Source organism: Homo sapiens, chromosome 11 (assembly GCF_000001405.40).
Source record: "Homo sapiens chromosome 11, GRCh38.p14 Primary Assembly".
NCBI classification, from domain to species: domain Eukaryota; kingdom Metazoa; phylum Chordata; class Mammalia; order Primates; family Hominidae; genus Homo; species Homo sapiens.
Genome location: NC_000011.10, coordinates 113598155 through 113625531, shown reverse-complemented (window position 1 = coordinate 113625531; position 27377 = coordinate 113598155). Strand labels below are relative to the sequence as shown.

The 27377-nt window shown below is 37.6% G+C and overlaps 1 long non-coding RNA gene across 2 annotated transcripts in view, besides 1 other annotated feature; it reads left to right on the top strand.

Annotated features, from left to right (window-relative positions):
* The window catches only part of LOC107984390 (uncharacterized), a 100111-nt gene that overhangs the window by 60979 nt on the left and 11755 nt on the right, over positions 1-27377 (top strand). The gene's annotated exons all lie outside the window — the stretch shown is intronic.
* Positions 11673-11941: a transcriptional cis regulatory region, noted in NCBI's record as "candidate enhancer chr11.5211 targeted for multiplex CRISPR interference". NCBI's record gives its function as "positively regulates C11orf71 gene expression in K562 cells {active_cell/tissue: K562}" and the evidence as "EXISTENCE:mutant phenotype evidence [ECO:0000015][PMID:30612741]".

Here is a 27377-nt window from a genome sequence, read left to right as displayed (position 1 = left end):
GAAAGAGAGGCTATAATTACACTGGGAACAGACTCCTAAGGCAACAGGGAGATGGGGTCACCCTTGAGAGGGCCCATATTTTACATGTTGGGGTATGGAGGACAGCATTAGGTTATCAGAAAACCACAAAAGGCTTTTATGTAGACAACTACTAAGATATTTTTGAAACAACTCACTGGAAGAAAGAAATAAAAGGAAAACGTACTTGCATAAATTTGGCTATTCAAGTTCTGCTTTGAGGTAATGGTAAATCTCCCAAACCGAATGGTAAAGAAGTTCCCATTTGCCTGCATGGTTCACTCCTTTCTGTTTGAATATTAAACCATCATAACCTTAATACCTATTGCTAGGGGCTCGATTTTCATGTTCCTCCAGAATTCCTATGTTGAAAACCCCCAAGTTGATGGTAGTAGGAGATGGGGCCTTTGGGGGTGATTAGGTAATGAGGATGGAGCCCTCATGAATGGGATTAGTGACCTTATGAAAGAGATCCCTGAGAGCTGCCTTGCCCCTTCCACCAAGTGAGGGCATAGTGGGAAAGTGTCATCTATGAACCAGAAAGTTAGCCCTCTTCAGATGTCAAATCTGCAGGAGCCTTGACCTTGGACTTCCCAGCTTCCAGAACTGTAAGAAATAAATTTCTGTGGTTTCTAAGCCACCAGAATATGGTATTTTGTTATAACTGTCTGAGCAGACTAAGACATCGATTCACAAGCAACATGGACAAAGGCTGGAGGGGTTAGCGAATGTGAAACCCTCTAGAGCAGGAGCTGGGGCTGAGGAGGAGAAGCAGGTAGGTGCTCTAGGTCGCCCTCAGAGTACCCCTCTCTCCTCGCCACCACCTGCAGGCTCCTCAGGGATGCTCTTCCTCCAGCCATGGGCCCTTCAGACAAGAAACGTGCTGCCCCTGCCTTTCTACCCACCTTTTCTCCACAAGAAGTGCCCAGAGAGCTCCAAGCATTGAAAGGCAAGTGTCCTGTGGAGGTTTCCTCTGGACCCCTGGCTGCTTTTCAAAACATATAGGAAAAGACTCTAATACATTTAACTTTGAATATTTACCTAAACATCCCAAAATTTTGATTCTCACTGGCTGCTCTGAAGTGTTTGGTCCACAGTGAGCCATTTTCCATACTCAGTGAGTGCAGGTGCTGGACAGGCTGTTTCCATGAACCAAGTTGACAGTCTAAGAGCAAGAGGCATGGGTGCCTGTCTGCCTGTTGAAACCCTCTTCCAAAGACCACTGGGAAACCATGCTCCCTCTTTCATGGCATGTTTAATAATGCTTAAAACAATGCTCTTTCTTTCACGGCATGAGGGAGCATTGTTTTGACAGAGACTCAGTGGTGGCTCAAAATGGGGAAGTTAATGGGTTTTTGTGATAGAGTGGTCATAGGGTAGAAATTTGTGAGTGAAGTCTGGACTGGGGTTGGTCAGAATTTATAAACAAAGTGAATTTCTGGAATAGTCAGGGGTCTTGTCTCTAAAGCCTGAGTCCAGAGTCACTGCTGAATCCTTTTCCCCGTGGTCTTGGCATCAAGCCTCTGTGCATACAACACACCAGTGTGCTGGTCTTAAAGTAGTTTGATCTTTGCTGGTGTTGCAAGATATGGTTTGATACAATTAATCTATTTTGCAGGTCATAATACAGTTTTGCAGTTTGTAGTTTCAGTTGTATTTCTTACTTCAGAGGAAAGGAGAATAAATCTCCAAAGAGCTGCCTCTCCTCTTATTTAGTCCAGGAACAAATCCCTAATGGAAGCAAGAATGAACATTTGTTTCCACTGGGAATGTCCCATCATTCACTGCCTCCTCATGCTCCACCAAAGTTTCAATCTTCTGGCTGAGTCAGGGATCTTCGACAACCTGGCCTCCACCATCCACCACCCCCGATCATCACTTACCACCTCCATTAACATAACCCAACTTTCATCACCATCACCCACCATCACCCTGCCCACTTCCATGGCCCACCCCATCACCAACCCCACCACTCCCAACCAGTACCACTTATAAAACAAGCACTGTGTGCCAGGAACTGTGCTATGTGGGTTTGCCATGCTCATTTTATTTCATCTCCATTCCAGCTTTTTGATGTGAATTAGTGGTTCTTAACTAGAAAGATATTGATGCCTGGCTTCTCGCCCAGAAGTACTGAATCAGAAGTTGTTGAATTAGGGCACAGGAATCTGTATCTTACAAATATTTCAAATGATTTTGATGCACAGATAACATTTGAGAACCACAGATGTAAACAATATTATCTTTGTTATACAGATGGGCCAAGGGAGAGGAGATTAAAAATGATTTCCCTTGCAATTCTAAGAAAGGCTATTTTGAAGATGTTTGGGGAATAGTCTTAAAGAACCAAGAACAGTGGCTGGGCACAGTGGCTCATGCCTATAATTCCAGCAATTTGGGAGGCCGAGACAGGAGAATTGCTTGAGCCCAGGAGTTCAAGACCAGTCTTGGCAACATAGTGCAAACCCATCTCTACCAAAAATACGAAAATTGGCCAGTCTCAAAAACCAGTCTCAGAATAAATAAATAAATAGATTAAAATTAAAAAATAAAAAATTATATTAGAAAAAGAATCAAGAAGAAATAATTACTTCTGTTTAATGAACAGCGAATCTATTGTTGATTTCATTTTACAGAGGAAGGAACTGAAGCCCAGAAAGGTTAGATCAATTTCCTAAGGTCACATAGCTCATGAGGGGAGAACCTGGGTTCAGAAGCAGATCCTCCTGACCCCACATGCTGTGCTCTTTACTGGATACCACGGTGGTCTCCAGGAAGCCCCTCTCAGGGTGGCCTACGTGTTTCTTTGTTTTACAGACATACTGACCATATTTCAGCTTCTACACCTTGGAAACACAGTTTTCCCTCCAAGAACGATGTCCTCTCTGCTGTCCTGGCTTTTTCAACCGTGGAGTGTCATTGTCACCTTCCTTCTTCCCCAGCAGCTCCTCTTAACACCCCAACAGGCCTCTGTCCTCCCTGGTACCCAGGCGTAAGATGTCAATATATTTTCTCTTTTTTTCCTTTTCTCCAGCTATACCTCCTTTTTCAATATATTTATTTCCCCTGTCTTTCTCCAATTTCACTGCTATTGCTCCAGGTCCTCACACTTTCTGAATCTTTGTAAAGCCCTCTAACTGGCTTATTGACACCTCCAGTTTCTTCCGCATGTTTTCCACCCTGCACTCAGTAAAAGATTTATCTTCTAAAAATGCTTTTGTTGTCACTCCTGGCTCCAAAACCCTATGAAGCCCTAACTGTTCATCCAAAGCCCTCCCCAAGAGGGGCAAGTCTACAGATTTATTAAAAAACAAATAAATTATAACAAACCTGATTTTGTTTTAAAATTCCTACACAAACAGCTAAGCAATTCTGACATTCTACTCAATATTTGGACTCTTACTGAAACACTAATGGATTCTCTTCAACACATGTCAGTGTTAAAAATCACAGTGAATGTGGACATAAACACATGCTCTAATTTTGTATAACACAACACATAATATTTATTGTTTCCTTTCTTAGAAATCAATTTATATGTAATTTCTGTGATTTTTGTAATATCTAGTTCAGTATCTAGCTCTCAAAATATCTAGTTCAGTATCTAGCTCTCAAAAGTATCTTTTATGTGTGCTCTTTGCTGCTTCAAGAAATAGTTTTTTTACTTTATGTCCCACTTGAGATAATATATCTAAACTAGTACAATCATATGTACTTACTCAAATCTAGTAAGTGTATAAATTAGGACCATTAATCCTAATGAGAAAGCTATAACCAACATTTATACATTTATATAAAAAGGAATCTTTAACTGGTTCAAGAAACACCTAAATACTGAATATATCACTAACACCCCCCTCAACCCTTGCAAATAATTAACTGTTGGATTACATTAACAATTCTCTAATTTCAGATATGATTTTCATTTCTGTTATAATGCAGGACTTTAATTCACGAGTTGTTAAATTAGTTTATAAACATAGTGTAAAAACCAACACACTTTAAATGCTATTTTCTGGCAGAACGCCATTCTGTGCATCAGAGTGACCCTGAGTAATATACGAGCAATTACTTTCACTCACTCTTGTCTCAAATGCTCAGAAAGTCTCACCTTTTTGACTTCCTGGGCTGAATTCCAGCCTGGAGTATGTGTTAGGGACAGTTATCTAGCCACTGAGATGAACAACCCTCAAATCTCAGTGGTTCATCACACAAAATTTTTGTTAATGGGATGTGTCTTATTCTATTGGGCAGCTTCACTCCAGGTGGTGTCTCAGGGACCCAGGCAGGCTCCTTTTTCCTTATGGCTCTGCTAACTGTTCAGGTGGGACATCTATTGTGGGACTTGCTGAGGACCAGGCCCAGAAGTGACACACATCATTTTCTCCTGTATCCTACAAGCCAAGACTTCAAAGCTTGGCCAACCTATGGCAAAGGATCTGGGAAATATTGAGGAGCACACAGATTCAGATGAGGACTACTAACTTCTAAAACAGAGCAGATAAGTTCACCTCTGAAGTGGGTTGGGAGAGTTGAGTATCATAGAATTAGGAAGACTTGGGAGCTAAGTTGGGAAGGTTCCACCTTCTAAGTCCTTTTTTTTTTCTCTTAGAGACGGGGTTTCTCTTTGTCACTGAGGCTGGAGTGTAGTAGTGTGATCATAATTCACTGTAGCCTCGACCTCCTAGGCTCAAGCGATCCTCCCATCTCAGCCTCCTGGGTAGGTAGGACTACAAGCATGTGCCACCACACTTGGCTAATTTTTAAATATTTTTAGAAATGGGGTCTCACTATGTTTCCTAGCCTGGTCTCAAGCTCTTGGCCTTAAGCGATACTTCTGCCTTGGCATCTCAAAGTGCTGGGATTACAGGCATGACCCACCATGCCTGGCCCATCTTCTAAGTCTTAATTAGAAGACTGAATTCCTTGGAGGTTCAAATAGGATGCCAGAAACCTGACTATCCAATCTGCAACCCATGGACCAAATGAAGTCTACCTAAGGGTTTTAAACAAACTTTATTTTATTCAATTAATAAATATGATACTCCTTAACGGAAAGAATAGTAGCATATGATGTTATGCTGAGAGGCTTAGATCAATTACGAATTGGATTTTAAATTGTACATGAGGGAATTTCAAACATTTTATGAAAAATGGAAATAAAAGATAAAAATTTAAAAAATATACTTTTTTTTTAAAACATAAACTCATTCAAGATTAAGATACTTTTGTAAGACATGATACCAGCCATTTTGTCTATCCCCAAAGAACTGAGGCTCCAGGGAATTTAACCATGCTAATGTAATCTTTTTCACATTATTAACTGAAGAAAAATGAGTGCCCTTGAAATATTTTTTAAGATTAGGAAACAAAAGCAAGTCAGAAGGAACCGAAGCAGGATGGTAAGGTGGATGCCTAATGATTTCCCATAGGAACTTAAGATTGCCTTTGTTTGATGAGAGAAATGAGCAGGAGCATTGTCGTGGTGGAGAAGGACTTTCTAGTGAATCTTTCCTGGGCATTTTTCTGCCAAAGCATTGGCTAACTTTCTCAAAACACTCTCATAATAAGCAGATGTCATTCTTTGGCCTTCCAGAAAGTCAACAAGAAAAATACCTTGAGCATTCCAAAAAACTGTTGCCATGACCTTTGCTCTTGACCAGTCTGCTTTTACTTTGACTGGACCACTTGCCCCTCTTGGTAGCCATTGCTTTGATTGTGCTTTGTCTTCAGGATGGTACTGGTAAAGCCATGTTTCACCTTCTGTTGCAACTCTTTGAAGAAATGCTTTAGGATCTCAATTCTACTTGTTTGAAATTTCCACTGAAAGCTCTGCTCTTGTCTGCAGCTGATCTGGACACATAAATTTTTGTACCTTTGAGTGGAAATGCTCAACTTTAACTTTTCAGTCAGAATTGTGTAAGTCGAACCATTGAGTTGGCTATGGTGTTGGCTATTGTCTTTGCTGTCAATTATCAGTCCTTTTTATTTAGGGAATGAGCAAGATTAATTTTTTCCTTGAAAATTAACATGGATGGTCTGCTGCTTCAGGCTTCATTTTCAACAGTTTTCTAGTCCCTTCCTAAAAAGAGTTATCCATTTGTAAACTGCTGATTTCTTTGGGGCCATTGTCCCTATAAACTTTTCATAGAGTATCAATGATTTCATCATTCTTCCCCCCAAGCTTCACCATAAATTTGATGTTTCTCCTTGCTTGCCTTTTAGCAGAATTTATGGTGTTTTGATAGGAGCTCTTTTCAGACTGATGTCTTATTTTTCTTAGTACCTCCAAATAGATCCTGTTCAGACACATTATAACAAGTTTGTGCAAGTTTATTTTGATGCAAAAATTTGAAATTCATGCAGGCTTTTTTCATAAATTGCATTTTCCATGAACTTTTGGAAGACTCCTTGTATAATCAATTATAATATTTTGAACCCTTCATGTTTTAATTTACTAAGGCTGTTTTTCCCTAACTTTAATTTGCATAAGAATCACCTGGATTTCTTGTTAAAGCATGGGTTTTGACTGATTCACAGGGCCTCAGGTTGTGCATGTTTAACAAGCTCCCAGGTGATGCCCATGCTGCTGGTTTGAGGACCAGGCCAAGCAGCAAGGCATCAAAGTAGAACCCAAAATGATGCATTATAAAAGATGATTGACAAAGAGTAAGTAGTTATGAATGTTCTTGACTCACCTTTGAGTCAGGTTCAATTTTAGTACATATGTGGATTCTAATAGAGATGCTGTAGAGATACAATATTAACATCATGTATAAAAGTAAGTGTCCTGGAATTAATACAACTTGGGTGTAAATCTTGACCCTGTCATTTATGGGCTATGTGGTCTTGAGTGAGTAATTCAATCCTCTGAGTCTTTCTATGAAGGATAAACAATACTCACATCAAATGATTGTTGTGAGATTTGAATGAAAGCCTTGGCAGAATCTCTGCCATAGAACTGGCACTGAATAAGTGGACGCTGTAATTCTTAGTTCATCTTTGACATCAATAAAACAATCCTATGACTAGCATGCAGAAGAATTTCTGGCCCTGGCCCTAAACTGAAAAAATAATGTTGTGCCTGACCAGAGTTGCCGGTTACTTCCACATTTGGGCATCAGAGTTGACTTTCCCCATCACCAGAATACAGGATTTTGCCTCGAGTTCTGGAACAGATTTCAATGGAAACATCTAAAATCTTTGGGTCTTTGGGTTTGTCTCCTTCAGTCTGAGAGTCACATTAATTTTTCACACATTGTATTCCACTGACTGCTATCTCTTTTTTTTTTTTTTTTTTTAAGACTGAGTCTTGCTCTGTTGCCCAGGCTGGAGTGCAGTGGCTGGATCTCTGCTCATTGCAACCTGCCTCCCAGGTTCAAGCAATTTCCTGCCTCAGCCTCCTGAGTAGCTGGGATTACAGGCACCTGCCACCCTGCCTGGCTAATTTTTGTATTTTTAGTAGGGATGGGGTTTCACCATGTTGGCCAGGCTGGTCTCGAACTCCTGGCCTCAAGTGATCTGCCTGCCTCGGCCTCCCAAAGTGCTGGGATTTACAGATGTGAGCCACTATGCCAGGCCTGCTATATCTCTTTGCACAGTCACTGGAATCCCTTTTCTGGGGCCACATCAAACAAGCTGATTGCTTTGTATACAAGACTCCATGTGCTCACTCCTTGGGTTTTATAATCCACTTGTCTAATTTTAACTTTTTATTTTTTATTTCTTAAGTAACATAAATATGTTTTTCTTAAAAAAATAATGAATGCTGCTGAAAAGGCTAAAGTCTCCTCAACCTTATTCTCTCTCCCCTAACTCCCTGCCCTAAAGTAACCAAGGTTATGAGTTTAGTCTCCCTCTCTTCAGTTTTGAAGACAAGTTTTTGTAGTCTGAAGTTCTGTAAACCTTTAAAAGTGTTTGCTGTGAATATAAGGTTTGTTCTATTGTTTGCTTCTCTTCAATCTAAATGTATTTCCTGGGCAATCTCATCTACACTTATGACTTCCACTGCTACCAATGATAACTTCACAATTTATGTCTTTAGCTCATATCTCTCTCTTGAGCTCTAGAACAATATATCCAAGTGTCCCCTGGACGTCTCCATCTGGAAATTCCACAAGCACCTTAAACTCAATCTGTCTCAATCTCAACTTGTAAGCTTCCTCCTAAACTTGTTCCTCTTCCTGGTTTTCGCCTCATAGTTAGACATCTTGATGTACCCTATCGTCCAGGGCAAAAGGAAAGTGAAAAAAATATATGTATAGTGATATTGACTATACGCAAAGTAAGTGTTCTTATGGATATGACCATATTGAAAAAATTGTATTCTTTTTTCTCCCTTCAAGGTAAACATTTACATACATATCATTTCCCCTATGGTGAATGTTTTGGATTGTTGTCTTAGGCTGGGATCCTAGAAAAGGAATTACTAGATCAAAGTAAATGAACTTTTCTATGGCTCATGTCATATTTGTGCCATTGCACTTGCTAAATTGTTTTCCCAAAGAATTGTAGCACTCTTCAATGCCATGTGTTTCACTATCCCTGCCAACATTAGATATTTTAAAAATGTAAAATAAACATTTTTCTAAACCTGCAGAAAGCAGATTCAAGGTTACCAAGGGCTAGAGGATGGGAATGCGGGGTTATTGTTTAATGGTAACAGAGTTTGTTTTTGGGGTGATGAAAAATTTTGGAAATAGTAGTGACGGTTGCACAACATTGTGACTGTAATTAATGCCACTGAATTGTACACTTAAAATGCTTAAAATGGCAAATTTTATGTTATTTACATATGTAATTTTTATTGCAATAATTTTTTTAGTATAAAAAGAGCACAGTCCTAAAAGATGGGAGACTTCTATTAAATTAATATTAACACTGGGTGTGATGGCTTACATCTGTAATCCCAGCACTCTGGGGGGCTGAGGTCGGAAGATCACTTGAGGCCAGAAGTTTGAGGTTGCAGTATGCTATGATCACACCACTGTAGTACAGCCTAGGTGACAGAGTGAAATCCAATCTCTAAAAAGAAAAAAAAAAAAAAGAAAAAGAAAAAAAATTAAATGATATTTAATGTTGGCAGGGATAGTGAAACACATGGCATTGAAGATTGGTACAATTCTTTGGGAAAGCAATTTAACAAATGCAATGGCACAAATATGACATGAGCCATAGAAGAGCTTATTTACTTAGCTCTAGTAATTCCTTTTCTAGGATTCCAGCCTAATACAACCATCCAAAACATAGAAGAAATGATATGTATGTAAATGGTTACTTTGATATTACTAATAAGAGAGAAAAAAACCAATTTTTTCAATAACAGGTTGAGTGTTTGCTATTTATTAGACTCCAGGCTAAGTGCTATACATATATTAGCTCCTTTTTTCCTTACAGGAAACTTTTGAGTTAAATACTATTCCCATACCAATTTTAGAAAGCAGGAAACTAATGTCTAGTGAGTTTAAGTATCTTGCACAAGGTCACGTAGCTAGTAAGTTACATAGTTGGGATCTGAATTCAGTTCTGGCTTCATGCCTGAGCTTTCAACTACTACTACTAAACTGAGAAGGCACTTGCTTGAGTAAATGATGTCATCCTCTTAATGAAGCATTATGCAGCTGTTAAAGATGATAGATGTAAAGGTTATGAAGCAGCATGAAAATATAACTCATTTATTCAATAAATATTTGTTTCTAAATATATTCATTTGCTGAATGAATAAAATGTTAAGCCAACAAAACAGGATGGAAAATGGCATGTATGTATATTTCTGTATGTGTGTGTATACACACACATACACTGTAAATATATATTTATATGCAAATGGATATAATTTGTAGGAAATATAATATTATATCTATAAAAATATGTAGGAAAAAATACCAGAAGGGAATACAACAAATTATTAACTCTGTAACCCTGTTCTTAGAATGGTGAGATTATTGATTTTTCTAATTTTCTCCTTTTAATAACGATTTCTACGACTTTTAAACTTGTTTTTACCTTTCTTTTGTTATGAGAAAAACTTGGGACCATAACATCCTTCCCTCAACTCCCAAACTGGGAAGGTGTGAGAGACCAAAGAATGCCTTGGATAAGACACTGGGCAGCAGCAGGACAGTGCTAGAGATCTGCATTGTCCCCGCCCCTCCCTCCTGTCTGTAAACTGCTGTTAAGCTAGTTTTCAGGCTCTTTGCCTACTGTGTTTGAGCAATGGGACTGTTTTCCTCGGAGGGTTCTCAGATACTCTCCATGATGTTGGGCTTCTCAGGGACACCTGCTCTTTGGTTGGGCACCATAACCTTGGCTCACTGCCCAGCCTTCAGGGTTCAGGCAGTGGACATATACCCGGTGGGGGACCCACCACACTACATTTATTATAGAACATTTTAAACATATACAAAAGTGGAGAGAATGATATGATGAACATCACGTACTCATCACCATGTTTTACCAGTAATTGGCTTACAGCTAATCTCATTTCATAACACAGTTATCCCTCCTTATCCATGGGGGATTGGTTCTAGGACCTCCTACTGACAGCAAAATTTTTGAATGCTCAATTCCCTGATACAAAGTGGCATAGTATTTATACATAATCTATGCACATCCTCCCATATAGTTTAAATCACCTCTAGATTACTTGTAATACCTAACACAAAGTAAATGCTATGTAAGTAGTTGTTATACTTCATTGTTTAGGAAATAGTGACAAGAAAAAAAGTTTGTACATGTTAAGTAAAGATGCAATTTTTTCCCCCAAGGATTTTTGACTTGTAGTTGGTTGAATCCATGGATGTGAAACCCACAGACAGGAAGGGCTGACTAAGCCTCTACTTTAAAAAAAAATTAATTATTTCTTTTATCTTCTATTCCCCTTCTTTTCACAGGTGTTGATATCCCCACTCTTGTCTCTCCATCTTCTAAATTGTTTTGAAGCAAATCCCAGAAATTTTAACATTTTATTTTTAAATATTTCCATATGTATTTTTAAAGATAAGCAATTTTAAAAAATAACTATAATACCACTACCTAAATTATTAATAATTCCTTTATATCACCAGCTATCCAGTTAGTGTTCAAATTGATTTTATTGCATCCTAATTTATTTCTTTGTATAGTTTGTTTGAACCAAGATCCAAATAAGGTCCATACTTTGTAACCAGTTGGTATGTTTTAAAATCTCTTTTCATTTTCCGGTTTCCTCTTCCGCTTTTTGTTCCCCCTTTGCAACTTATCTGTTGAACAAACAGGATCATTTGTTTGTAGACTTTCCTATTTTCTGGATTTTGCTGGTTGTATGCCTATGGTGTCATTTACTTTGTTTCTCTGCTGTCTATATTTACTGCAATTTGGTAGCAAGACATAAAATCTTGATCAGATTCAGGGTCCATTTTTTTGGTAAGAATATTTCAGAGATGGTGTTTGTACTTCTAACAGGAGGCATATGCTATTTGGTTAGCTCTCATTTTGTATTGTTAGTAGCTATTAGTGCTTAGTGCTTAGATCTGTGCTGTCCAACAAAAATATAATGCAAGCCACATATGTCATTTAAAATTTTCTGGTAGCCATTACCAAAAATAAAAGCAAATCGAGTTAAAATTTTAAGAGTTTATTGTGCATGAAAAATCCCCAAAAGTCTCCTGGTTTGATAAGCAGCAGAGTTGACGCCGAAAGTGGCAAGCAGTTTGGCTCACAGCGGTCACAGTGCAGCTTCAAAAGCCTAAATGAGGAAGTACATTGATCTTTGTTGTGATTGGCTATTAAAACTTACATTCCTTTTAGGACAAGTAAGTCTGTATTAGCTTATTTATCTGTAGCTGATTGGTTCAGAATTCAGAAAGAAAAACCTAAGTTGTGTTCGTGGTTAGAGCTAATATTTGAGGAAAATCATGATAGCTTAAGTTTCAGTGATGTGGCTACAGGCAGTTGGCCTAGCAGTCTATCCAAACGGTGGCCTCAATTTTGAATTTTCCTTAACACCAGGTTTTTAGAAAGTAAAAAAAAGAAAAACAGGTAAAATTAATTTTAAACATTTATGTATGTCTTTAATTTTTAAAAATTGACAGTATTTTATGTTTTTTAAGTGTATAACATATTTTGAAGTTTATGTACCTTGTGGAGTGTTTAAATCTAGCTAATTAATAAATGCATTACCCCACACAGTCACCATTTTTGTGGTGAGAACAGATAGCATCCATTCTCTTTACATTTTTCAAGAATACAATATATTGTCATTAATTATAGTCACCTTGATGCATAATAGATCTCTTGAAATTTATTCTTCCTAAATGTAATTGTTTTAAAAACTAAATTAAATTAGCTAAATTAATAAAAAGTTGTTTTTAACCCAATATATTTCACATACTATCATTTCAACATATAATCAATATAAACATTATTGAGATATTTTTCATTTTTATACACGAAGTCTTTGAAATTCAATGTGCATTTGACACTTACAGCACATATCAACTCAATCTTGCTACATCTCAAGTGTTCAATAGTCACATGTGGCTAGGGGCTGCCATATTGAATTGTGCAGAACTAAATCCATTCTGTCACTGGAGGCTACAAAACACTGATATTCAAATTCTATCATTCCTTCCTCATTTATTAGCTAACACACGTTTATTTTTAAAAGGGTTCTCTCGGCTGGGCACGGTGGCTCTTGCCTGTAATCCCAGTGCTTTGGGAGGCTGAGGGGCGGATCACAAGGTCAGGAGATCGAGATCATCCTGTCTAACACGGTGAAACCCTGTCTCTACTAAAAAATACAAAAAAAATTAGCTGGGTGTGGTGGCGGGCGACTGTAGTCCTGGCTACTCAGGAGGCTGAGGCAGGAGAATGGCATGAACCTGGGAGGTGGAGCTTGCAGTGAGTGGAGATCATGCCATTGCACTCCAGCCTGGGCAACTGAGCAAGACTCCGTCTCAAAAAAAAAAAAAAAAAAAAAAGGTTTGTCTCATCAACTACTTACTTTTCAGGATTGATCTTGATTCTTTTTCTTATTTGCCAATTTCCAAATAATGAGTTGGTTTCTCAGCATGCTCCAAAGATGACCAATGAGGTTTTTTTTTTTTTTGATGTAACATTATGTGTTCATGATTTAAACATATTTTTAAAATGTTTAAATAATCGTGCTCTTATTAATGCTTGGATTTTCCTGTATTTGGCCTGTAGCAACCTCTTCAAGTTGGCTCTTGAGTTTTCTTGACATGACCCCAGTTATCTTTGATAGGTTTCTGGTAAAATAAGATGTCCTAGGCGTAGCTTGCAAAAGTTCTGGCCAAGACTTAGAATCAGCCATTTTTCCTCAGAGCCCTGGTTTATTTTGGCTTTAAAAGAAATGGCTTTAAAGACCACAATCTAGGTACTAGAAGTGCTCATTGCTACTGGCTTTTTTAGTCATTGTTTTTAGACCCTTTTAAAGTTAGAAAATATTTTTTAAAAATATATTATTAGTTTATTCTGATACTCCCAATTCAAATTCAGGACTGTAAGGTTTTTACTCAAATGTTTTGATGTTACATTTGCATCTCCTTTCCTCCATGCAGAAAATACTGGTTCTCAATGATAGCAACAAAATTATTCATTTGCTTTATCCCACAACAGTCTCCAAATATGCTAACACTTCTATCAACAATGTGATTATTAAAAACATTTAAGCTTTTTCTACACATTGAATGCAAAGTGCATTGTGTCCCCTCCCAAATTTATATGTTGAAGCCCTAATATGCAATGAGATGGTATTTGGAGATGGGTTCTAGTGTTAGATGAGGTCATGGTAGGAGTTGGCTGGGAAAGAGGTTGTGTGGGGGGTGGTCATGATGGCATTAGCTCCCTGGTAAGAAGAGATACCAGACAGCTTTCTCTCTTTGCCTCTGCCATGTGAGGACACAGCAAGAGGGAGGCTATTTGCAAGCCAGAAAGAGAGCCTTGGCGAGGTGCGGTGGCTTACTCCTGTAATCCCAGTACTTTGGAGCCCAGGCGGGCGGATCACAAGGTCAAGAGACCGCGACAATCCTGACCAACATGGTGAAACCCCGTCTCTACTAAAAATACAAAAATTAGCCGGGTGTGGTGGCAGGCGCCTGTAGTCCCAGCTACTCGGGAGGCTGAGGCAGGAGAATCGCTTGAACCCGGGAGGCGGAGGTTGCAGTGAGCCGAGATCGCGCCACTGCACTCCAGCCTGGGTGACAGAGCAAGACTCCGTCTCAAAAAAGGAAAAAAAAAAAAAAAAAAAGAAAAAGAAAAAGAAAAAAATAAAAAGAAAGAGAGCCTTCACCAGAAAGGGAACTCTGCTGGACTTAATCCTGGCCGAGGCGGGCAGATCACTTGAGGTCAGAAGTTTAAGACCAGCCTGGCCAACATGGCGAAACCCCATCTTTACTAAAAATACAAAAATTTAGCCGACTGTTGTGGTGCGTGCCTGTAATACCAGCTGCTTGGGAGGCTGAGGCAGGAGAATTGCCTGAACCTGAGAGGTGGAGGTTGCAGCGAGCCGATATCACACCACTGCACTCCAGCCTGGGCAACAGAGTGAGAGTCTGTTTCAAAAAACAAACAAACAAACAAACAAACAAACAAACAAAACCAAAAAACTATTTTGTTATGGCAGCCCCAGCAGACTAACACAGCTGTTCTTTTTGTCCTTAGGGTATATTCTTGTCTTTGGGTATAGTCTAGGGTATATTTTTAAAGTAAATTTTAAAAGGGGAAAACAAAAACTAGAGGTTTTAATGGATTTTATTTTATTTTTATAGCCAGTCAAATTCAGCAGTGGCGGGGGGTTGTATACCAACTTTAGTGAAATTAATGTTAATAAGTAATGGATTTTAAAGGTTAAATTTTTTTCTGACTTTCAGACATTGCCTTAAAGATAAGTTCAGTTTATTGTAAGTTGAAAATTAATTTCTGTTACCTATGGGATAAAATATGAAACATTTGAAATATAAATTCCTTGTAAGATTATAGCTTACAACATAAGTTGTTGCGAATGTTCCAAAATTATTTTTGTGATTTGAATTGGGAAATTATGAAGACAAAAAGAGTACGTAAAATTTAGAGTAATTTACGAATAGACTCTTACTTTTTCAAAGTCTCCCAGAATGTTACTGTGGACATTCAGTAAAGTGATGTGTATGTGTATTTGTTGGTAGGGATGGTGTTCAGGGGGAAGGTACATACACATGTCTGTATAAGCATATACAAACACATGAACACATATATTTTATTAGCCTAGGCTTTAAGGAGTAATCACACCATTGGTGTCTGTTCCTATAACTAAAGAATGAGAGTAATTTAACTAAATAAATTTATTCATTTAACTAAATAAATGTATTAATTTTCACATATTTCTTTCATTGTGAGACAGTTTCAGTGGTTGATTTTATTATTATTATTATTATTATTATTATTATACTTTAAGTTTTAGGGTACATGTGCACAATGTGCAGGTTAGTTACATATGTATACATGTGCCATGCTGGTGTGCTGCACCCACTAACTCGTCATCTAGCATTAGGTATATCTCCCAATGCTATCCCTCCCCCCTCCCCCCACCCCACAACAGTCCCCAGAGTGTGATGTTCCCCTTCCTGTGTCCATGTGTTATCACTGTTCAACTCCCACCTATGAGTGAGAATATGCGGTGTTTGGTTTTTTGTTCTTGCGATAGTTCACTGAGAATGATGATTTCCAATTTCATCCATGTCCCTACAAAGGACATGAACTCATCATTTTTTATGGCTGCATAGTATTCCATGGTGTATATGTGCCACATTTTCTTAATCCAGTCTATCATTGTTGGACATTTGGGTTGGTTCCAAGTCTTTGCTATTGTGAATAATGCCGCAATAAACATACGTGTGCATGTGTCTTTATAGCAGTATGATTTATAATCCTTTGGGTATATACCCAGTAATGGGATGGCTGGGTCAAATGGTATTTCTAGTTCTAGATCCCTGAGGAATCGCCACACTGACTTCCACAATGGTTGAACTAGTTTACAGTCCCACCAACAGTGTAAAAGTGTTCCTATTTCTCCACATCCTCTCCAGCACCTGTTGTTTCCTGACTTTTTAATGATTACCATTCTAATTGGTGTGAGATGGTATCTCATTGTGGTTTTGATTTGCATTTCTCTGATGGCCAGTGATGGTGAGCATTTTTTCATGTGTTTTTTGGCTGCATAAATGTCTTCTTTTGAGAAGTGTCTGTTCATGTCCTTTGCCCACTTTTTGATGGGGTTGTTTGTTTTTTTCTTGTAAATTTGTTGGAGTTCATTGTGATTCTGGATATTAGCCCTTTGTCAGATGAGTAGTTTGCGAAAATGTTCTCCCATTTTGTAGGTTGCCTGTTCACTCTGATGGTAGTTTCTTTTGCTGTGCAGAAGCTCTTTAGTTTAATTAGATCCCATTTGTCAACTTTGGCTTTTTTTGCCATTGCTTTTGGTGTTTTAGACATGAAGTCCTTGCCCATGCGTATGTCCTGAATTGTAATGCCTAGGTTTTCTTCTAGGGTTTTTATGGTTTTAGGTCTAACGTTTAAGTCTTTAATCCATCTTGAATTGATTTTTGTATAAGGTGTAAGGAAGGGATCCAGTTTCAGCTTTCTACATATGGCTAGCCAGTTTTCCCAGCACCATTTATTAAATAGGGAATCCTTTCCCCATTGCTTGTTTTTCTCAGGTTTGTCAAAGATCAGATAGTTTTAGATATGTGGCGTTATTTCTGAGGGCTCTGTTCTGTTCCATTGATCTATATCTCTGTTTTGGTACCAGTACCATGCTGTTTTGGTTACTGTAGCTTTGTAGTATAGTTTGAAGTCAGGTAGTGTGATGCCTCCAGCTTTGTTCTTTTGGCTTAGGATTGACTTGGTGATGCGGGCTCTTTTTTGGTTCCATATGAACTTGAAAGTAGTTTTTTCCAATTCTGTGAAGAAAGTCATTGGTAGCTTGATGGGGATGGCATTGAATCTATAAATTACCTTGGGCAGTATGGCCATTTTCACAATATTGATTCTTCCTACCCACGAGCATGGAATGTTCTTCCATTTGTTTGTATCCTCTTTTATTTCCTTGAGCAGTGGTTTGTAGTTCTCCTTGAAGAGGACCTTCATGTCCCTTGTAAGTTGGATTCCTAGGTATTTTATTCTCTTTGAAGCAATTGTGAATGGGAGTTCACTCATGATTTGGCTCTCTGTTTGTCTGTTATTGGTGTATAAGAATGCTTGTGATTTTTGTACATTGATTTTGTATCCTGAGACTTTGCTGAAGTTGCTTATCAGCTTAAGGAGATTTTGGGCTGAGATAATGGGGTTTTCTAGATATACAATCATGTCATCTGCAAACAAGGACAATTTGACTTCCTCTTTTCCTAATTAAATACCCTTTATTTCCTTCTCCTGCCTCATTGCCCTGGCCAGAACTTCCAACACTATGTTGAATAGGAGTGGTGAGAGAGGGCATCCCTGTCTTGTGCCAGTTTTCAAAGGGAATGCTTCCAGTTTTTGCCCATTCAGTATGATATTGGCTGTGGGTTTGTCATAGATAGCTCTTATTATTTTGAGATATGTCCCATCAATACCTAATTTATTGAGAGTTTTTAGCATGAAGGGTTGTTGAATTTTGTCAAAGGCAGTAGTTGATATTTTAGTTGAAATATTTAGGTCTCTAAAAACCCCAGTTAATTTTGAAATCCTAGTCTGAAGACAGACCTAAATGAAAAAAAAAATTAAACCTAGAATTAATTTTTTTTTAGATACCCAAATCATTTCAACTAATTTAAAGAATATTTCCACCAATAATTTTTGTCATTTCATTTTATTTTTGATCCATGCAATATAAATGAAGAACTGAGTTGTAGTATTGTGTTTTGCAAATAAGAATACTTCAAAATTTCCATTTTCCAATTCAACCTATATTTACTAGTTGGAAAACTAAAGTGTTTTAAATTTATTCACATATTGCAATTCTAGAAAAGAGCAAATAGCCAAGATAACCAGACCATAAACTCACTTGGCCACTCTTTAGGGCACAGAACATCCTTCTGGGTAAATCTGGGAGTAGCATACTCATTCACAGCCCAGGGTCAGAGTTTGCATCCTCTTTATTTTCTCACTGGACATTGTTTAAAGCCTTGGCACCCAGACCCATAGGATGTTAGGGCCAGAAGGACACTTAGAGATCCAGCCCAACCCTTTTACTTGAAAGATGAAGAGACTGAGGTCTCAAAGTATGATGAAAATTTCTAAAAGTTATAAAGTTAGCTACTTTTAAAACTCAGATTTATAACATCAATAACAAAAAGTTTATACAATTGAAAATATTAGCATTCATGTGCTCTTAGGCAGAATTAATATAAGGTTTATAGAGTTGAAACTGACTGTGAAGTACTACAGTTGGATTTATGATTTAAGACTCATGACTTAGAAAGAAATAAGGGACTTAGGATTTAGGAAGGAAATCTATAGAATAGCTCTCTCTTGTTTCTGAAATAGTACTTGAATTCTGTTGATGAGATGAAGTGATACTGTTCTGTAACCGGAATTCATATCAGCAAAGTCAGTTCAATTCCCTTGGGTGTACAAAAGCTGGGGCTGTCTTCTGATTGTGAGAGTGGCTTCTCCCCAAAACGAACCACAAATTAAATACATGTGGGATAACCATCATTTCTGTAGAAATCTCATGATACAGCTGGGCTGCCATTTTCCTTTTATAAAAAGGAAATCCAATACCTGAAATAGCTGATATAACTAGTTGAGTGAGGATGAAGGGGCATGACTGGGGGTCTGTTGGTGTTAGTTGCTAATAGGTAAGTCTTTTATAGGAGAGATAACTGGGGAGAGTTGGAGATGTGTTATATCTGAAAGTGATATGCATCTAATTTTTCATATCAAAAGTGATAACTCTAAATATAAAATAATAAATACTAAACTTAGAAATTGTAGTATATCCCTGACAGCAATAGCTCCACCCATTTGGTAGTCGAGTCAGTGCCTGGTTAGCTTCAGTTTAGTTATACTATGAAACTTGGACATGGAGGGAGCCTCATAGGAAGAGATACACAAGGGAGGTGACTCTAGTCTTATTGGTGAGATTGGGCCATGTCTAATAACAAACTCAGCTCATACAGACTCTGGGATAGGAAGAGCCTCAGATTACAAAGCCTGGGAGTGCAGTATTGAGGATGATGGAGAAAAGTGGGTTAAGACTATAATCCCCAAATCAGGCAAATACAGATCAGATAAGACATTTATCTCAAATTCTTAGGGTTCCTCTTTACTGGACACATGAAGCTTCCAAAAAACAGGTAGAAATGTGGGGGAAGACGCAGCTTGCTGCAGATGCAAACACCAAGAGAAGAGGGAATTCCAAGCAGTGTTAAGTGCTTCAGGCAGGTCAAGACAGCAGAATTATTCTAAATTATTAAAAATGAAAATTATTAAAAAGCATTAAGAAACAATTTCTGTAATGTAGTAATTCTTAAACTCTAGACTTCTAGTCACCATCTCTAGAAATTCTGATTCTTTGATCAAATAGTGTTCAGAGATGTGCATTTTAAATACATCTCAGGTAATTCTTAGCAGATTGTTAGAGGAGGTTTCCTTAACCTGACCAAGGATACTCCTAACAGATTTACAGACAGCAAACAATATACTTAATGGTGATATTGTAGAAATATTCCCATTAAAGACAGGAATAAGAAGGGCAACTATCTTCAGTTCCATAGCCCATGCAATAAAACAAGAAAAAGAAATAAGAAGTAAAAGATTGGAAAGAAACATATAAGCTGCTGTTATTTGTAGATGCTATGACTGTCTACACCAAAAATCCAAAAGAATCTACAAAATATGAGAACTAATAAACGTTTTAGCATTTTGGCTGGATACCAAAACAACATAAAAAGACAATCGCATTCCTACACAAAACAATAACCAATCAGAAACATAATTAGAAAAAAAAATCTCATTCACAGTACCAAAGAAGCAATAAGACACTTATACATAAACCTATCAAAAGATGTGCAAGTATTCTGTGAAGAAAATATTTTCAGTGAAAGTTTCCATCTCTTTCATGTTTTGTCTCCTTCTCTTTTTCATTCCCCCTACTCCTTCTTGTCTAGTGGCTTGCATCTCCTCCCAGCTTACTTGGTCCCTCTTCCAGAACCAAGTGTTTTAATAGTTACTCAGAGTTCTCCCCCACCAGGGAATGGTGGGTTGTCACAGATCTCAGACCCTGGTCTGAGATCGGGTCTCTGGACTCCCACATCTGTAGGCTGAAGCTTACAAAGACGTGTACCCTTAGACAGCAATTGTCAGTAATATTTTCTAGCTTCCTTTTGCAACCTAAGAGAGGAGTAAGTTGGTAAAAACTCCTGACTCAAGTTCCTTGTTTCCTGTGAAGTATTTTAAGTTCCTTTCTCCCCAGGATCTGAACTCTTAGCTACCATTCCCTCCACCTGGGCCCAGAGCCCAGCAAGCTCACAGCTCCATTCAGGTTCACTTTTTAAAATTATTTTATCTTTTCATTTTTATTGTTATACTTTAAGTTCTAGGGTACATGTGCACAAAGTGCCGGTTTTTTTTACATAGGTATACATGTGCCATGTTGGCTTGCTGCACCCATCAACTCATCATTTACATTAGGTATTTCTCCTAATGCTATCCCTCTCCCAATACACACCCCGCTGACAGGCTGTGGTGTGTGATGTTCCCCGCCCTGTGTCCATGTGTTCTCATTGTTCAATTCCCACCTATGAGTGAGAACATGTGGTGTTTGGTTTTCTGTCCTTGTGATAGTTTGCTGAGAATGATGGTTTCCAGCTTCATCCATGTCCCTGCAAAGGACATGAACACATTGAGGATCACTTTTTAATATTTTGTTTTGTTTCTGATCAATGCAGATGCTTATCTCATATTAGAACCTTGTTATGTATTTTGTGAGTGCGTTTTCACTTTTCATTTCATTGCTATATTGTTTGGAGTGGCAGGAGTTATCAAGCATGAACTCACTGCCCATCTTGACCAGAGAGACTTCATTTCTTTTCTTGGAGAACAAAGGGAAGTAGAGGATGAGAAAAGACACATTGTTTATCAAATTGGTTACTGATTAACACCAATTTGAGTAATACCTATTTAAACATTCCTTTGGGAAACTGGCAAGATGAAAGTGAGGGGTCAATTGAGAAGGAATGAAGGAAGGGGAGACCTGGGAAGTTTGGGGCTGGGCAAACAGGCAGGGAATGAAGAGGGAACCCTGTCTATGAGCACCTGCTCCTCTTTAGGCATCTTGAATGTTGTCCTTTTTCTTCAGTATGGACAAGAACCCTTCTCCTATTTCTCCTGCTCTTCGGCTTCCTCATTCATTCTCTTCTTTCTCCTAAGAAAGGGAGGTTGAAGGCTGTGATTTCCTTTTTCTCCTTTCCTCATGGATTCTCACAAAGCAGAGGCCCAAATATGCTCCTAGGATTCAGCCAGGACCTTCCCTTTGTTCCTGAATACCCATCGGCAAGTCAAACTAATCAGAAACACAATTCTCCTCAGAGCTCAGTTCAAGACTTGCACTGATAAACTCTTACTTTCCTTCTCTTGCGTAGTAGTATTTTTGAATTCCTACTATGTGCCAGGCTCAGAGAACCCAAAGGAAGAGTCACAGATAAGAAATGAAAAATGACATTGAGCAATCACCTACTCTGAAGCCATCCTTGATCAAGGAGACTCCCCCTGATTTCTGAACACCCCTTCCAGCTTCTCCTTTCTTTCCCCACCCTGCTACCAAGAAAAGAAGAGCCAGATCTCTGGTTAAAGAGCTAAGGTCCCTACTTATTTCTGGGTCTTTTGTTTCACAGTGAGGACCCTGGCTCTGGAAGTAGCTCTTCTTTGGCTCCTGGCCATTCTCTGATGAAGTCATCTGAAGAGGCCAGTGCTGTCATTGTGGCCACCAGCAGTCTGCCAGGGCCTGTCCTGGGGCTCATCCAAGCCCCAGCTCCAAGAGGCAAACTGCAGATGTTTCTTCTATTTTTAGATGCTGGGATGTTGCCCATGAACGAGCCAGTGACCTGGAAAAGCCAATTCTCCCTCCAATCTCTGCTTCTGACTCGCTCATTTCCCTTCATTGTTCTACCAGATTTTTCCTCCTACTATGGGACCGGCATGAAATGACCCAGAGTTAACTGAGCTAGACCTTGGTCTGGGGACACAGATCTTGACTTCTCCTGCACCTACTAGGACTGTGGTCACCAAGACTGGTTTTAGGTTTAAGAGATTGAACTCTTTGTTATATTAGGGGTCTCCAAAAAATTTCCATCATGCTTTCCTATCAGTAAAACATTTTTGAGCACCCATCCTAGTTTTTGCTTATGTTATTTATTTATAAATTTTGTACATGTAAATTTGTACTAATATATGTTATAAAGCTTATACAGAAAGTAGAAGATGTATAGGCTGAAACAGTTCTAAGGGATTAGGAGTTCTCACATCCTTTTCTTGTGCCCCATGTATCTTCTGGCACCCCCTCTGTGGTAATCACTGCTCTGCATAGCTAAATGAGAAAATGTCCTTTGGAAACACTTTTTAATTTTTTTTTGAGCTGCATGCTAGCTATTGTTGATTTGGGGAATAATGGAAAGGTTTTTGTTGGCTAAAGTATTGCCTCTTTTCCAATAAACAGCAAGATCTGAAATTTCTCTATTAGAGAAGTGGTAACTTTGGGTTAAGCATTGCCTTCTCTCTGAGGTCTCTTAAATCAACAAATCCTTTTGAAAGAAGTTGGAGAAGAAGCGTGTTATATCTCCAGTCCTTTAGGTCAGTACCTAAATTGGGCTGCTTTCCTCAGAGCCCTGGATGCCCAGCATAGTGTCTGGCACAGAGGAAGAGCTCAATATACACATTTGTTGAATTAGTGAATGAGTGTGGGCAATTCAGAGAAGGGAAAGATCAAAAAGAGCAAGAAGGAAGCTAAGGTACTGGAAGGCAAAGTGAAGCTGAGTTTTCTCCTCTTTCTAATTTCGCTCAGGGCCAGAGAGGTTTCTTCTCTTCCTGGGAGTAGTTATTCAGCACAGTGCGGTTCCTTCCCGGGCAGGGCTTCTCTTGGTCTGAGATTTTATTTCCCAGGAATGCAGGGGTAGCTGGGTTGCTCCAGAGCAGAGAATGGACCCTCTGCAATCTAGTCATCTGGAAAGAGGACTAATCTATTCCTGCCTTTCTGAATAAGCCAAGCAGAGTCATTGTTCCATTCTTTGCCACCTTCACTCTGTTCTTAGAGCAGCCTATGATGAGGGTCAGACGTCTATATCCACAGGTGGTTGCAGAGTATTTGTGGTTTGCAAAGAGGGATCTGGTCCCTTTTGGTATCCTCAGGACATTTTTGTAGGCAATAGAAGGAGATTTCTTTTCCCAGAGAAGAGATACATGTTGAAATAGATTCTACCCATCTAGTCAGCCTTGCACAGGATTTTTTTGCTTGTTTTTTTGATCTCCCCCAACCCCCTGCCAAAAAAGGTGTGTGTGTGTGTGTGTGTGTGTGTGTGTGTGTGTGTTAAGCAGCATCAATTTAGTTGGAATTGTACTGAATTTATAGATGTACTCAGGGAAAATAGACATCTTTGTAATATTGAACTACCACACATTTGGGCAAATACTATGTTTCTATGTCTCTCTATTTATTCAGGTCTTTTTTAATGCCTCTCAGCCATCCAGTTTTCACCTTGTCAGTTGAGTTTTTATTTGTTGAATCCCAGGAATTTTACATTTTGTTTTATTATTGTGTGCTAGTTACTCTTAATTGATATTTGCAAGTTAACATCTTTAGTTTTCTAAACAAATTGTTAAGGATTGTTTTATTAAGTTCCTGAAAATTTCAGTTAGTATTTTGTTTGCAATTGCATAGATTTGATAGATTAGTTTGGGAAAAATTAGGGCTCTACCTTTACTTCTACTTTTACTCATTTTCTTCATTATTTTAAACAAGCTTAAAAGATTTAGTAGAGTTCTAAAGTTCTAAAGCTCTCTCTTTAGAAGAATGTGCATTCTTTATTAGCTTATTTCCTAGATGTTAGAGGTTTTGTTGCTATTGTGAATAATGTCTTATTTTCGTGTTTTAGTGTAAGTCTGTAAAAATGCTATTGATTTTTGTAGATCGATTTATTTTTTAAAAAGTTTTTGTAGAGATGAAATCTTGCTACGTTGCCCAGGCCGCTCTTGAACTCTTGGCATCAAGCAATCTTCCTGCCTTGGCTTCCCAAAGCGCTGGGATTACAGGTGTGAGCCACCAGGCCTAGCCTTATGTAGATTGATTTTGTATCTAGTTCCCTTGTTGAACACTTAATAGATCTTTCAGTTTGTCTTCAGATCTATTGAGATTTCTCATACATGAGCATATAACTTGAAAACAATAGAAATGTTATCATTTCCCTTTTAATTCTTAAAAACTCTTATTGCTGTTGTTATTATTATTAGTTTTATATAGCATTAGGCAGGATATCCAGAAATGGTCATAGCAGACATCTTTTGGGTTATTTCTGATCTTATCTATTTAGTGTGATGCTTACTGTATATTTTGGGCATAGCTCCTTTACTAACTTAAAGGAATTCCTATTTTACTAAGTGTTTTTATTATATATATATATGTGAAATTTCTATAAAATATTTTTTCTGAATCTATTGAGAAATCATTTGATTTTTCTCCCTTGGTCTAGTGTATGGCTTATATTAACAGATTTCTGTTTTTAAATTACCTCAAGATTACTGCAATAAACCTTATTTGATCACAATTTTTAAAAATGTGCTGTTGAATTCAGTTTGCTTATATTCTATTTTGGATCTGTAAGTAAAAAGGAACTATTGTGTTTTTCCCCCCCTCTCTATTCTTATTAGGTTTTAGAATTAATCTAATAGAATGAGTTGTGCTGCTTTTTTTTCTTACTTTCTGGAACAAATTTTCCAGACAGGAATACTTTGTTTTTTGAAACATCGTCTGTAAAACCATTTAGCCTAGGAGCAATTTTAAAAAATATTATTATTATTATTTTGCTTAGAGATGGGGTAGGGGTGTCTTCTCTGTTGTATTTAACCATTTCAATATTTTGTTATTGGTTGGTTCAAATTTCTGATTTTTCTTGGGCTCGTTTTAAATTCTATATTTTTCTATAAATATATCTATTTTGTCTTAGTTTTCATTTTATAAGTGAATAGTTATTTTTTAATAATTATTTTAATCTCTTTGATATCTGGAGTTTTTTTTTCCCTTTTGAATTTTATATTTCTGCATCTTCTTTCTGATGAGCTTTTGCTGCAGGTCGGTACAGCTTAGCAATCACTTCAAACGTTCAGCTTTTGTTTTAATTATTCTTACCGATTTTGTAGTTGCTGCTGCTGCTATAGTCACTCTTTTATTGAATTCTGCCTTTATCTTTATTTTCTTTCTTATTTTTTGTGCTCAGTCAACTGTTCTTTTTTTAATCTTTTCAGTTAAAACCTTACTTCATTTGTTTTCAATGCTTTTTTTCCCCTAGTAAATGTATTGAGAACTATAAGTTTCATTCTTAAGTCTGCTTTTGCTGTGTCTCTGAAATTCTGGCATGTATTTTCCCTCATTATCATTTAGTTCCAAGTATTTTATAATTTCTTTTATATTTTCCTGTTAACCCAAACATTATTATGTTACTACTTAACAGAAGTACAAAGCTTTAAAGTTATTTTATTCATAATTTATAATTTTGTTCCATTTTGTTAAGATAACAATGTGAATGATGATGATTTGGGGAGAATGTATTGAGGCTCCCTTTGTGATCTGGTAAATGTTAAATTTTTTGAATATTTTATGTGTGCTCAAAAATGTTCTCTCTTCTTATTGATGGTTGTAAAGTTCTCATATAATTAGTATTTCAAGTTTATGAATCATACCATTCAGATCTCCTCTATAATTGCTTATTTTTTGTCTGTGTATCCCATCAGTTTCTCAGATGACTACAAAAAACGTGTCTAGCTATAATTGTTATATGGTTCTCTCTTTAGTTCTGTTGGTTGTTGCATTTTGTACATTGAAGGTATGTTTTTAAGCAGATGTATGTTCACAATTGTTATATCTTTCTGCTCATATTTTTCTTCTATTGTTTGACATTAAATCTGCTCCCCAGTTTCATTTGGTTCAAAATTGCATCATATACCTTTTCCATCATTTTATTTGTGACCTCTCTGTCACCTTTTGTTTTAGAAATATTCCTTTCAGAAAACCTATTGTTAGATATTGCTTAAAAAAAAAACCCAATTTGCAAGTGGCTGTCTTTTGATTAGTGAACTTAATCTGTTTGTAAATTGTGTTAGTTTCCTAAGGCTGCCATGACAAAATAGTTCACACTGAGGAGCTTAAAACAGCAGTAGCTTATTGCCTCATAGTTGTGGAGGATAGAAATCTGAAATAAGGTGTTGGCAGGGCTATGCTCCCACTGAAATATTTAGGGGAATTCTTTGCTTTTTCCTAGCTTCCAGTAGTTTGCTGAAATCTTTGGTGTTCCTTGGCATGCAGCTGCACAGTTCCAATCTCTGCCCTCATTGCAGCATGACACCTCCTTGGGCATCTCTCTCTCTCTTCATGTGGCATTTTCCTCTTCCTATAAGGACACCAGTCCTCTTAGATTAGGGGCTCACCCTACTCCAGCATGACTTCATCTTAATGTAACTAATTACTTCTGCAACAACCCTATTCCAAATAAGGTTACAATACGAGACATGGAGGGTTAGAACATCAATAAATCTTTTTAGAGGAGACATGATTCAATCCATAAAACAAATTATGTAATTAGTTGTGTATTAGGATTTATTTCAGACATCTTATTTCTAATTTATATTTAAATATCTTTTACTTTCCTCTCCCTTTTTCCTTTCTCATCTTTCATTGAATAGAATTTTCTTCTGAGGGCTTGAAAAGTTTGAATTCCATTCTCTATACTCGGTAGCTATGTTTAACTTTAAAAATCATATTTATGTTTATTTTTCTCATCAATTCTCAATAACATTTATATCATTCTCTATAACAAAATAATACTCTCACTTTCCACTGGTATCTCTTTGCAGCCACCATTTGTTCACTGCCCATTAGTCGTTTTGGATTCTCTCTGTCTCTCTCTCTCTCTCTCTCCCCCTTCTTCTGCCTCTCCCTCTCTCTCTACCGTTGTATACTTGAATTAACTTTTCTATATTATGTATCCACTCTTGTTTCCTTTTTATCTCATGGTAGTCTCATGGATTTATTTCTCTTCTAACTGGGATACATTCTTTGAGAATATTTTAGAAGAGAATTTTCCGTGTTAACTTCCTTAGGCCTTTTGTGCCTGAGATTATTTTTATGACATCCT